Source organism: Homo sapiens, chromosome 9, assembly GCF_000001405.40.
Source record: "Homo sapiens chromosome 9, GRCh38.p14 Primary Assembly".
Taxonomy (NCBI): domain Eukaryota; kingdom Metazoa; phylum Chordata; class Mammalia; order Primates; family Hominidae; genus Homo; species Homo sapiens.
The window spans coordinates 114,460,200-114,474,197 of record NC_000009.12 but is presented as its reverse complement, the minus strand read 5'-3'; the positions used below and the strand labels follow the sequence as shown (position 1 = coordinate 114,474,197).

Here is a 13,998-nt window from a genome sequence, read left to right as displayed (position 1 = left end):
AAAATGAACCTTGGGGGAAGGTTCCAGTACTCCCTCCTGTGTGCATATTCAGGATGAGATTGTTCCTGAGTTGAGTGGGGTGAACTCATTTCTTTGAAATGGCTTGAAATGGAGGATGGGTTGAGTCAGCTTACAGGGCCAGGGGTGGCAGGAGAGAAGGAAGGAAGACCCAGGGGAGGAGGCTGCATCAGGATGGGAGGGCGAGTGTGTTGCCATGGGGTCTTTGGGGTGGAGGGAATAAGCATGATGTTTCCAGACCCTCCTCTGAGGCAGGCGCCTTCCCTTCTCCATGCCTCCTGCAGGCTAGAGGATCCAGTCTGAGCTGCAGGACTGATCACCTGTTCTTGAGTTCTGACTGTGAAGGTGTCATGGCTCAGCCTGGGGCCCTTGCAGAGCATCCAACAGAAACTCACAGATGGGCTTTCAGAAGGCGGCCTGCGTCTCCTGCTTCTATTGCTTCCACATACCACACTTACACTTCTATCACCCATATTTATTGGAGATGGGGTTGTTAATGTGGCAATGAACCAGTATCCAGAGTGATAGAAGCACAGCTTCCCAGGGGCTTATCTCTTCACTGCAGTTTTCAGATTTCACTGTGGTTTTGTAGAGTCATTTGACTGGCAGGCAAGTCCTATAAAATACTTACAGATAGTGTCATTATTCCGATTTTCCAGAGATGAAAATGGAGGCCTGGAGAGCCTGCATGAATTATCCCAGGTCATACAGCTAGAGAGTGGCTGGGACAGGTCAGGCTCATATCTCAGGCTTATGCCTGGTCCCTTCAGTGTCCCCTGGCTCTGGCTCTTTGGGTCCGGCCCTCGCACAGCCACAGTGGTGGCTCCATCCAGGAGAGACAGCAGAGCCTGCCTGCACACAGCACCAGTCATCTTGGTCAGCATCTGGAATCTGCTCGGAGGAATGATGCGGGCAGGAACAGCTATTTGTAGAACTCAGATGCCCCTTTCACCCCTCCCCGGTCATTTGCCCATGAGCTTTATTGAGAACTTCCTAAGTCTTATTCCACTACAGTGTCCCTGTCCCACGGCCCCTTACTCTGCAGTGAGCAGTTAGACCCTGCTGCAGCAGAAGCAGCCACTCCGCCAAGCTCATGTGTCTCCAGCAGCCACAGAAACAAGATGGGACCTGCCCTTCGGCTCAGGCTGCTACAAGCCTGGAACACAAGGAGCAGGGGCTTTGGGCTCAGCAGCACTGGGTTTGAAGCTTGTTTTTGAAACTTCGTGACTGTGTGACCTTGGGCAAGCCACTTAACCTTGGATGAGTCACTTAAGCTTCCGCATCCATGATTGGAGGATGGTCATGCCAGCCATGTGAGGCTGTTTCGAGGATTAATAATCAAGGCTTATAAGCACAGAGCACAGTGCCTGGACATAGTAATGAATTCCAGCAACAACCGTCAGTTACTAAATGCTGACTAGGTACTGGTATTTTCCCCCAAAATATGTACCAAGTACCTATAATGGGCCTGCTGTGTGTACTGGGGATACAGCAGTGAACAGACAAAGAACAGACAACACCTTAGCCACTGTCAAGGGCTGACGCTCTAGTGTGTTGTGGGGGGACCGTAACGGGCATGAAAAGAAATAATATACAGTCTATTGTAAAATGAGGGAGAACCAAGCAAGGAAAGGGCATGGGAGGGTGGTGTGTGCGTGGGGCAGTGTTAGAGAAGGGGCAGGGACGGCCTCACTAAGAAGGTGACAAAAGAAAGGATCTGAAGCTGACAAGGAAATGATCATACACGGATCCGTCCTATCTGGGCAGAGTGCTCCAGGTGGCTGGAGGCCTCAGGCAGGTGAGCAGGGCCTCTTGAGGAGCAGCAGCAAGACCTGTGAGATTACAGAGGAGTGAGGCAGCAGGCATGGGCAACCAGGCCGAGTCTGGGGACTTTCCTCTGAGTGAGATGGCTGCCATGGCAGAGCTTTGAGCAGAGGAGGGACCAGGTGCATATGAGGTTCCAGCCGGACTGTCCAGGCTACTGGATGGAGGGTAGATGGCAGGAGCAAGGGTGGAAGTTGGGAGCCCACGCATCCTCATCCTCACAACAGCCCTGGATGGCGCTATCAGTTAGGGGTGCTTTTGGCTGTGGATCACAGAAAGCCTGTATTTTAGGAGCACACACATTCAGGTGTTCGCTGTTCTCTTCAGAGGTGTAGGGCTGGGCAGCCCGAGCTCTGGTTTGCTAGGGAGTGAGTCTCTCCTTCCTGTTGTTGGCTCTTGCCTTGGGCTCATTGCTTCACAGCTGCAAGATGGCAGCCACTGCACCTGCCATCACAGCCTCTCACAACCGTGCCCAAAGCAGAGTGGGTGAAGGGAGCAGGAGGCCCTTCTCTTCCTGTGTTCCTGTCTTTTCAGAGTGGGGAATCTTACCCAGAATCCCCTAGCAGACATCCCCCACCATGCCTCTTGGCCAAAACTGGCCCAGAATTACCTACATGCATTCCAGTTCCTGGTATAAGGGAATGGATAACCTAGGCTGGTGTCATCTCCTGGAGCTGCTCCGGCTGCCTCTTGGACCTAGTCGAGGCTCCGTGGCAAGGCAGGAAGGGAGATGGCTGCTGGCTTGGCCACAGGCAGTGCTGGCCCCCGGCAGGTTGCACAATTCTTTTTATAGACTGGGCAACTGAAGATCCGAGAAGCAACAGGGCTTTTCCCAAGGGTGCCCAAGAGTGAGGGGCAGAACCAAGACTTGAACTCAGGCCGGTGAGAGGCAGTGTGGTGCATTGGTTAAATGCCCAGGCACTGCAGGCAAGCCAAGTGGCTGGGTATGTGAATCTTAGCCCCATCATTTCATCCCTCAGTGAGAGTTGAGCCTCAGTTTCCTCATCTGGAAAGTGGGGATAACAACAAAACCATAGAGGAGGAGTGAGGATTCAATGAGGTAATGCATATAAAGGGCTGAGTACGGTGCCTGGGACATAGGAAACAGTACATTTGGTGACCAATTGCCTGAGTTATTATTCTATTAATATTATTAGCAGTAGTGGTGTTATTTTCACTGGGCCCGGCTGCTTCTCACAGTGTCATTTGCTTTCCCATAGATGAATTCCGATTCATGCCAAATGGTGGTTGAATTTTCAGCAAGTGATAGAGGCAGATTACCCTGTGCTTGATAGAACTGTTATTACAGTTCTGTGATAAAGACTCATTTTATTCTGATGTAAAGAATTTATGGGGAGGTGGCGGGGAGGTGGGGAGGTTTGTTTTCATCCTTAGTATTCAGAGTGGGCTGCTGCAGACATGGGCTGCCATCTGCGTGTTCCTGGGCTTGACTGCAAAGATGCCCAAGCTTCTCTTGGCTCTCTCCCTGCTGGGATCTTCATGTCCTGGAGCTGGAAGGGCCCCGGGGTGGGGTGGGGCGGGGGACTGACTGCAGGTCACCCAAGGAGCTGGGCTAGATCCTGGGTGTGTAGACCCCAGGCCGGGCCTGGCTTGTTCCAAGGCCTTAAGGTGCAGCATGGAGTGGGGGCTCTGCCAGGCGTGGCAGGAATGGGGATCAAGGCAGGAGCTGCCTACTGTGTCCTCAGCCAGCCTCTCTGTTCTGTCCCTGATCTGAACCCCACCTTCCTCCTACATCACCACCATCGTAAGACCACCACTTCTCATGGGGGATCTCTACAAAGTCACCCCTCTCCTGCTTCCCGTTTCCAGGAGTCTTCCTGCAGTCCACTTTGGAGCCTGTCACTGTCCTGCTCATAGCCCAGCCTCTTAGCCTGGCTCATGGCACCCTCACCAGGGAGGTGAATCTCAGCCATTTCCCCCACTCTCCTGCCACGCTCTGGCCATACAGGACCCGTGTGGTGACTCTTCGGGGCTGCACGCTGTCCTGTGTGTGGGCTTAGCACATGCTGTTGCTCCTGGAATGGCATCTTCCCTCTTCTGTCCCTGGCTGCCTCCCCACCCCGCCCCAGCCTTCAAGTCTCATTGGTCGTATTTCTGGGGAGCTCTGCCTTTGGCTGGGCTCCTGGGAATAGACTCTGAGACAAAGATTTGCCTGAAAAAGGATTATAAGTGTATCCTCAAGTCTGAAGGTATCCACCTCCTCCTCCCTGGAACCTGTGAGTGGAACCCTTATATAGCAAAAGGGATGTTGCAGATGTGAGTACGTGATGGTCTTGACGTGGGGGATTGTCTGGGTGGGCCCCGTGTCATCACGGGGGTCCTTGCAAGATGTAATCAGGAGGTCAGAGAAAGGGAGACGTGATGCAAAAAGCAGAGAGCAACTGATTGGAAGATGCCGTGCTGCCAGCCTTGAAGATGGAGGATGGGGCCATGAACCAAGGAATGCAGGTGGCCCCTAGAAGCTGGAAGAGGCAAGGAAGCGGGTTCTCCTCTGGAGCCTCTAGGAGAAGTGTGGTCCTTTTGGCACACTTTATACTTCCAACCTCCCAAACTGTCAGATAACAAATCTATGTTGCTCTTAGGCTCTGACTGTGGTGATTTGTTACAGCGGCGGCAGTGCCCTGGGGTCAACACTGGCAAAGGAGTGAGAGACACAGGGCAGGGCTGCCGTGCCTTCTCAGCACGGATCTCGGCAGGTCCCACAGGGAGCTCTGGAGCTGGGATGGCCTGCAGAGGTGTCCAGAATTGAGGCTGGGGCTGGCTTTTACCCACCGCCATCAGCCACTAGCCACAGAGCTGCCTCCAGGGAGGGTTGTGACCCTGGTGAGGTGCTCCCTTGGCCTAGGGCAGTTCTTGAGGAGAGACTCGCTGCCCTGAGGAGGAGCGCCTTGGTCCTGGAGGGGGAGCAGTGTCCCGTCCTGGGTGGCCTTGTTCTTTCCTCTCAGCATTCTCTTACCACCCGGTGACTCCTGAGCTTCTGGAGTGACCCAGCACAAGGCCTAGCACAGACTCCAGGCTCGAAAGCCTGTAGATGGAACTCCAGCCTGGCTCACGTCCACATGGTGGTCCCAGCCTGCACAGCAGCCCACAGTCATCATCTCCCCTGAGGAAGGCCACACCTGCTTTCCAGGTCGCACCTGCTGGCTTGGCTGAGATGCCACTGTGAGGATAACGACAGCCACTGTTTCCTAGTGCTTCCCTGTGCCAGCCACGACCCTACGCACTCTACACAAATGGACCCATTCATCCCTCACAGCAGCCCAAGGAAGTGAGCGTGACTGGTTTCCCCATTTTCTAGATGAAGAAACTGAGGCACAGAGAGGTGAAGCAACTTGGCCGGGGCCACATACCTAGCAAGTTGGCAGTCTGGCTCCGGAGCCTGAACATGCATTAACCACCATGTGGTTTCCTCCCAAATATGCAAAGCTGCCTGTGACAAGGGACCAGGGTGGGCCTTGAACCCAGGTGCCCTCAGATCTGCTCAAGCCTTGGAGCTGGCACAGCACTGGGGCAGGATGGGTCAGATCATGGGGGCTGGGTTACTGTTCCCAAGTGTCCGCAGAGCCTGCTGTTTCCAGAACATCTGTCTAACCAGTGGCTGCATGTGGGTCTCCTGCTTGCTTCCTGCAGAGCCCTGTGGGCCTCACCAGGGCCCTCCTTACTAATGTGGTCATTCTGTCTGAGGAGAAAACTGGGGCTGGTCCTGGACTAAGGCAGCTGGGCCCATCCCACAGAGCAGTGCCCTCCTGGCACCATCCCACATGGGATAGACCACCCTGACAAACCGCAGAGTCTGCCATCTTGGAACGAAACCCTGGAGAGTCACTGTCTATTGGACTCTTTCCTGACATCATTTGGCAACCAGTAGGAGCAAAGCCACCGCTTTTTGTTCCCAAGCAGTGGTCCCAGATAGGGTCCCAGAGAGAAGCAGCAAATTAAAGAGTTCAGAGTTCCAGAGGTGGGCAGAACCCAGGTCTGACTTGGCCATGAGTTGGCTGCGACTGTGTGACATTGTCAGGTTTCCCAACAAGACTTGTCATGTGTGCAACAGAACCAACAGTAGCTCATACTTACTGAGCATCTGCTAGGGGCCAGAGAGTGGCCACATGCTCTCACTTGTCTCTTAATTTGATCTTCTTCATGGTAACCTTATAAGACAGGCAGATATTATTGTCCTCATTTTCAGGTGAGGAGGCTGAGGCACAGAGAGGTTAAGTAACTTGCTCAAGGTCACACAGCTGTGCCCTCCCCTGGGAAGCTGGGACTTGAGTCTCTCTTGTTCACCACCTCTGCCCAAGGTGGTTGAAGAATTCAATGAGATAACACATTTAAAGGGCACAGAACACTTGATAACTCTTGGACGAATAACTTCCGAAATAGAAATCTGGTTGGATGGCTTTCCCTAATGAAATGTGTCTTTCCTGGTGCCTGAAGGTTCTCCCACCGCTCCCTGTCCCGTGGGCAGTCACACTGTGCTCTCTTTGGATCCCTTACCTGTCACTGGGTCTTGTGGCCAGGTGTTTCTCGTCTCTTTGGGCTAGGTTTCAGCTATTCTGGTCCCCTGCTTTCTTTTCCATGAATCCCTCTTTCATACCGGAGACACACTTAACCTGCATGTTCCTGCAGCTTCCCTCATGGATTAGGAACCGTTCTAGAATCTGCCCGCAGCCACCCCTTGCGTGTCCTTGTGAGCCCCACCCTGTCCCCCAGCACCTGCTGTGGCCACTGCGACTCACCTCCTCCCGGGCGGGACTTGCTCTCCTGAGCACTGACTTGAGCCGTCCCATATTCTGGAATGTTCCATTTTCCCTTCCCCCCCGCCGGCTGACTCTCGCTCACCCTCCCGTCTCATCAGAGATGCCACTTTCTCCAGGAAGCACCCCCCCACGCCAGTCAGGACCATTGCCCCTTCTCTGTACCCATGTGGCCCTCGAGCCACTTTGTCACGCGCTGCTCACACTGTACCGTGAAGGCCTGTTGACTGTCTGTACCACTAGACTGCGGGCCCCTCAGGAGCAGGACTGTGTCTGTCTCATCTCCAAGCCCCAGCACCGGGACTGCATTTAGTGGGTGCACCCTATGTATGTAGAGCCAGGGACCATCATGGTCCCTCAGGATGGATGGCAGAGCAGAAGACCCCTGGGGAGACAGCAGACGTCAGGAGAAATAGACCCCCCCAGGTGATAGGAGACCCCTGGGGAGGCAGGAGACCCCAGGAGAAATAGGAGACTCCTGAAGTGACAGGAGACCCTTAGGTGACAGGAGACCCCTGAGGTGATAAGAGATCCCTGGGGTGACAGGATACCCCTGAGGTGACAGGAGACCCCTGGGGTGACAGGAGAACTCTGGGGAGGCAGGAGACCCTTGGGGAGACAGGAGACCCTGAGGTGACAGGAGACCCCTGAGATGATAGGAGACCCCTGGGGAGGCAGACCCCTGAGGTGACGGGAGACCCCTGAGGTGACAGGAGACCCCTGGGGAAGCAGGGTGGTGGCTGCCGTGACCTGGCCTGAGCCTTGATCCTAAGGAGGGCAGATGGAGCCTAATTGAGACCCCGGGGCGCGAACAGTCACCCCCCGACTGAAGCCTCAGGTGAACGTGGCCACTGTGGCGTGAAGAGCATGAGCAAAGTGTCTGAGTAGTCCCGGGTGTTGGCCCTGAGGGGATCCCGGAGGCCATCTCCCTCAGCACCTTCCCCCCACTACACTTGCAGCTGTGACCAAGAGGGGGTGAGGGGCTTCCTCAAGGTCACCCATCAAGTCAGAGGCAGAGCTGGGGCAGGAACTGGAATGTTCTAGGGTATCTTCCAGGCCTTGGCCTGGGCCTCCTTGCCAGTCGGATAAGATGCGCTCTTCAAAGTACGAGAGGGGGCTTTGCAGCCTGCTGTCCCCGGAAGGGATGGCTCCTCCAGTCCCTCTAATGTTATCCTCTCCCTCTGACAGGTGAACCTGGTGCTGGGGGACGGCCGGTCCCTGGGCCTCACGATCCGTGGGGGAGCTGAGTACGGCCTTGGCATTTACATCACTGGCGTGGACCCAGGCTCTGAAGCAGAAGGCAGCGGGCTCAAGGTGAGGGAGGGCCTGAGGGAGGGAAAACTCTGTGCATGGAGCTCTTTGCTGCTGATTTTAAATAGACCTCCAGCAGAGCAATCAGCACTCCACCTTGAGGACTGGTCCCAGCTGGGGAGCCCTCCCTGGCTGCTGTACCTCTAAATTCACAGCTCACAGCAGCAGCGGGGTGGCCGCCTACGCAGTGTGGGCAGCAGGCCAGCCCGAACTTGTCGTGCTGCTGTTTTGCAAACACTGCTGATGGCCTGTGGTGGCCCTGACCTCAGGGTTTGTTACGATGCGTGGAGAGGATAGAGGAGAGAAAGTGATAAGCTGGGTTGGGGGTGCCCTGGGCAGCTTCAGGCCTGGCATTCAATCCAGACAACCAGCAGTTATTGAAATATTACTGGCTCCCATTTTAAAGAGGGCTAACTGTGTGCCCAGCGTCTGTGATCTACTTTTCACATGTCATCTAGTTGACTCCTCACGTGACCCTGAGGGGTAGGGTATTACTACCCACATTTTCCAGTTGGGGAAACTGAGACATAGGTTAAACTGACTTGTCCCAGGCCACACAACTGGTGGGTTGCAGAGCAGACTTTGAACTTAGGCAGTCTGAATTTCAAAACCCTCACTTAGCACGCTGCAGGGTAGCCCGGGAACTTGCTCAGAGAGACAAGACTGCTCACGAGGATGCTGGACCCAGGACACCCATCACCAAATTAAAGAGCACCATGTGTTTGGGCTAAATCCTGATGCCAGGGATGCCACAGCAGCAGTGATGTGGAGTGGTGACCATGGCACAGGTGGCCTTTGAGCCAGGCCATGGGGAGTGTGAGAGAGAGGGATGGGTAAAGGGGAAGGATGGGAGTGGCTGGCCAAAGGACCATGCGTGTCTGACTGTTGGTGACTGACTAGATGGATGCCTAGTCTGTGTGCAAAGCCAGGGGAATGAAGCACATGATGAGGTTGTATCTTTGTAACAAAGGGCCTTCCTTGCATGCCCTAATATCAGGAGATTTCATTTTCCATGCAGACAAGAAGAAAAGGTCACATGTGGCCACCAAGCCACATCATGGCAGACAGGCTGGAGTACAGAGACGATACGTCTGTCAGGTTCTCTTAGGAAACAGGCATTGTGGGAAGAGCTCTGGGTTTGCAGTAGGGAAGACTAGGTTCAAGTCCCAGTTTTGCTGCTTTTGCTTTCATAGCTGTGTGATCTTGGAGAGTCCCTCCACCTGTCTGGGCTTCCCTTTCCTGTATAATAACACTACGTAAGCCCTCACCAAACACTGAACCTGCTGGCATCTTGATCTTTGATTTCCCAGCCTCTAAAACTGTGAGACATAAATTTCTGTTGTTTATAAGCTACCTAGTCTATGGTACTTTGTTATAGCAGCCCAAAGGGACAGACAGACGACATCATCATCATCATCATCATCATCATCATCATCATCATCATCATCATCATTATGGACATAATCATTAACATCTACCATATCTCCCCTTTCCCAGTTACTCTTCCAAGTGTTTTACATCATTAACTTGTTTAACCTTGCTTCCCTTTACTATATAATAATAATAGGTAACATTCCTTTCTCAGGGTTATTGCAAAGATCAAATGGGGAATTCTTATTATTATAGTAAACATTGCCACAGATTGTGTTCCTCCAAAATTCATGTATTGAAATCCTTACCCACAAGCTGATAGTATTAGGAGGTGGGGCCTTTGGGAGATGATTAGGTCATGAGGGTGGAGCCCCACGAATGGGATTAGTGCCCTTATAAAAGAGGCTCCAAGAACTGCCTCGCCCCTTCCACCATGTGAGGACACAGTAAGAAGGCACAGTCTATGAACCAGGAAGTGGGCCCTCACCAGACACTGAACCTGCTGGCGTCTTGATCTTGGACTTCCAACCTCCAAAACTGTGAGATGTAAATTTCTGTTGCTTATAAGCCACCCAGTCTGTGGTACTTTGTTATAGCAGCCCAGATTGACTCAGACAAACATCATTATCATCATTGTTATAGACATGGTAATTTACATGGATCGTGTGTCTTCTTTCCCAGATGCTCTTCCAAGTGCTTTATGTCATTAACTTGTTTGACCTCATGATACTCCCGTGAAAGTAGGTTCTGTTGTTAGCACCATTTTATGTCTTTATTTTTAATTTTTGTGGGTGCATAGTAGGTGTGTACATTTGTGGGATACATGTGGTGTTTAGATACAGGCATGCAGTGTGTAATAATCACATTGTGGAGAATGGGGTATCCATCCCCTCAAGCATTTACCCTTTGGTGAGCACCATTTTACAGGCTCAGTAGGTGAGGCTCGGAGAGTTGCACAGCCAATGAGAGGGAAAGCCAGGATTCCCATCCAGGAATGAGGAGTCTGGTTCTAGAACTGTGCCCATAACCAGGCCAGCCAGATGGGTAGGAGATGTTCCACGGTGTCGGCCAGGTCTAGTTGATTCTGAAATGTGTTGGATCTAGGTGCTTGCTTTGCTTTTAGCAGGTAGGAGTGATGCTTTGTTTGGACTCCAGGGGGAAATAATCTGATAATATTCTGTATGGAATTTTTATTTAATAAATGTATGTTGGAATAATTTTAGACTTAGTGAAAAGTTGCCGAGAGTTCCTGTTTATCCTTCACCCAGCTTCCTCTAGTGTTGACATCATGTATAACCGTGGTATATTTGTCAAGACCGAGAAACTAACATCAGTACAATATTGTTAAACAAACTACAGGCCTTATTCACAGTTTCTCCACTCATGTCTTTTTTCTGTTCCAGGATCCAGTGAATCCAGCATACCACATTGCATTTAGTCTGTATGAAGTTTAAATGCCATTTATTTTCCCCAGAAACGTAAAGATTAGAGACAGTTTCTAAACACAGAGTAAAGATTTTGAATAGGTGGAGGAGACTGGGGAGAAGGAAAATGGGGGCAGAGGAAAAGAGATGAAGCAGGATGAGTGATTTCCCAGAACACCTGCTGCATGGGGGTTCAGACCCAGCTACAGGCAGGACACAGACTTGGCTCTGAGCTTCCTGGCAGCCAACACAGAGAGTGAAGCAAGTCAGTGATGTCTGTAAGAGGAAAACAGACCAGCTGTGTTTGAAAAGCCTAGTTATTCCTCCTTCGGAGGCCTCAGAACAGTTTTCCTCTGGTCCCTCCTTGAGAGGTGTTGTGTGGTGCCATAGTGTCCTTGGTGACATAAATGCATGAACAGCTTACGTAACGTTGTTGGTGGTGAGTACCCTCTGATTAAATCCACATTAAGAGAAAGGGAGAGAGGGAGCATTCCAGAGAGACAACACATTAGGTCTTGGCCTGCGAGCACTGAGCATCTCGCCCTCTCTCTCTGATTACTGATGAGTAGTGTCTTTTATTATCCTCTTACCCTTTTATTGAGCAGTTACTATGTCACATACTGAGCTAAATACTTCTTATTCATTATTACACAATTTTTGCAATGATACATTTTAAAAAAGAATGTTCTTCTCGCCAATTTATAGACGATAGATTTAGGAGCAATGTTAAGCAACTTGTCCAAGGCCACCCAGCTAAGTGCTAGAACTGAGATTTTAACTCACTCCAGCAAACTCTGAGTCCACGTTCTTAACTACTATGGTATAGCGCCTGTCAGTCCTCAGTTTACAGCTGAAGAAACCAAGACTTACAGACTTAAACTGAGTTGCCCAAGATCAAATTCTTTCTGTTATCAGAGCTGTTATTTAAACCGAGGCCTGACAGAGCCTGGGGTTTCCTTGAGCAGGGAAGGACTGGAGCCCTGGGGCCTCCACTGACCGGCTGTGTGAAGGTGGGCATGTCCTTCCTCTCCCTGGGCCTCAGTCTCCCTGCTTGGACACTTGGGCTAGATGATCTCCGAGGACTTCTCCTAGATCTGTACAGTTTCCTGGCCTGAAAAGTTGCAGAGAGTTCTCTTTACATAGAGCAAAAATTTTGAATGAGTGGAGGAAATTGGGGCGAAGGAAAATGGGGGACAGGAAAAGAGATGAAGCCTGGATGAGTGATATTCCAGAACACCCTGCTCTGTGGGACTGTAGACCCAGCTACAGGCAGGACACAGACTTGGCTCTGAGCTTCCTGGCAGCCAGCACAAAGAGGGTGCCCAGACACCAGGAATGTTCTTCACTCTGTTTCACCTATAGTTTTCATATTTACAAAGAGATGCCAAAACCAGTAACCAGCTGATAGATCCCTCTTTTGTGTGGAAGGATGTGGACATTCCATGTAAGCACGTGTTTGTGGCTCTCCCTTGCTTTTCCTCTTTCCATTTAGTCTGTGAGTATATATACTCATGACTCCTATAAGCTAACACTGTACTTTGCAGCTTCTGAGCAAGACAGACACAGTCTCTGACCTCCTCAGCTTATATTCTAGTAAGAAAAACAAAAACAAATTACACAACTGTGTATTTAGTTACAATTGTAATAATACCAAGATGGCAAAGCACATGGAACCAATTGAGTGTATGCCAGGGGAGACCAAACCTGGTCTTGGATATCTGGGAAGACTTCCTGGAGGAGGAAGCATTTCGGTTGAAATTTAAAAGAGAACAAAACTAATTATGTGAAAGAGGAAGTGAGAATTCCAGGCAGAAAGAACAGCAAATGCCAAGTCCCTGAAGTGGAAAGAAGTGTTCCAGTGTGCAGAGGAAGGCCCATGTGGCTGAACGTGGAAAGCCAGGTGGGGAGAAGATGCCTTAGCAATGCTGCTGAGGAAACAGCCTGATTGCACGGGAGATGTAATGCACCCAAGACTGTGCAGCTGTGAAAAGACGATGATCAAGATCTGCAGTTATTAATGTGGAAAGATGTCTGTGGGCTGTTATTAAGTGGGAAACGTGGGCTGCAAAACCACATAGCTAACAGGATTTCATCTGTATTCTATATGAATGCAAAAATATGCATAGAGAAACATCTATGCCGGACACACACCACAGTGTCAACACTGGTTATCTCAGGTGGTAAGATGAGGGATGATTTTCACTTTGTTTATGTCCTTAGGCGGCGTCTGAATGGAGCAAATATTCCTTTTATAATCTTAAAAACAGCAACAATAAAGTGATTTCCGTTCGGAAACAAGGCAGAGAAAAAATATTCCGTAGAAGTGTCCACTCACTTTAGTTTGCCTCTCAGTTGCAGGCAATCAAAGGCTTTATTTGCTCATAAAATGCCCGCCTTCAGTAAAGTCCTTTCTATCTTCAATCCCCTCCGCAGTAAAGCATTTTATATTCCTGCTGTTTATTGTACTTTCCCTTCCAGGGCCCCTTGGATATGCTAACACCTGCCTACACTCACTTGGGCATCCAGGACTGATTAATTCTGTTTATTGCCAATGCACTTTCAGTGGAATTAGGCATATTGAAATGGAATAAAGGGGCTTGGCTATGTGGGCAGTGGAGCCAAGAAAAGGTTTTATTTGTAAATAGGGCTCCTTGCTGCTGTGCAGAGCTTCCCTGGAGAGAAAATGTGCCTTTTGCTTTGCTTCCAGCTGCTCAGCCCACTTAGCTCCTGAAGGGCCTGGTTTGAGTCTGGGGCGGGGGATGTCAGGACGGCACTGCCCTAAGTGGAGAAGCACTTGGGGGGTCAGGCAGGTTCTCAGCATTTGCCCTGGGAAGGCCCCATGGAACTTGGCACCTTCCCACTCCCCCAGTGGGGGCTAACAGCCCTTTGAGAGTTTATCTTCGGATCTCTTATTTCTTTGCACCTGCCCCCCAGCTTCAAACCCCACCAAAGAATGGACCACAAAACCTCCTTTGTTCCTTTAAGGACAACTGAGATTGACTAGCATTTGAAATTAATCATAATGATAGCAGTTGCCATTTATTAACCAGTTATTATGAATCAGGCACTGTACTCAACACATTAGATACACTTTTATTTCATCCTACCGGTAGCCCTGTGGCGGACATTAATAACATCATTTAATACATGAACAACTGAGGCTCAGAGAGGTGAAGTAGCTTCCCGGGGATTACACAGGGATCTAGTACCTGGCCTTTTAAGGCCCTCCAAAGGTCATACGCTTTGCTCTGCCACCTTCCTAGCACCCCTAACTT

The 13,998-nt window shown here is 50.8% G+C and overlaps 1 protein-coding gene across 29 annotated transcripts in view; it reads left to right on the top strand.

The window, feature by feature from the left end:
- The window catches only part of WHRN (whirlin), a 103,394-nt gene that overhangs the window by 31,276 nt on the left and 58,120 nt on the right, over window positions 1-13,998 (top strand). For 23 of the 29 annotated variants that reach the window (XR_929757.3, XR_929750.4, XR_929749.3 and 20 more), the window contains one exon: window positions 7,806-7,931. The exons of the other annotated variants lie outside the window; for them this stretch is intronic. Coding sequence is in view for 14 of the 23 variants with exons in the window: in XM_047423166.1 (XP_047279122.1) it covers window positions 7,806-7,931 (126 nt within the window). In the remaining 9 variants the exon portion in view is untranslated. The remainder of the gene's footprint in view (window positions 1-7,805; window positions 7,932-13,998) is intronic. 29 annotated transcript variants of the gene reach the window in all.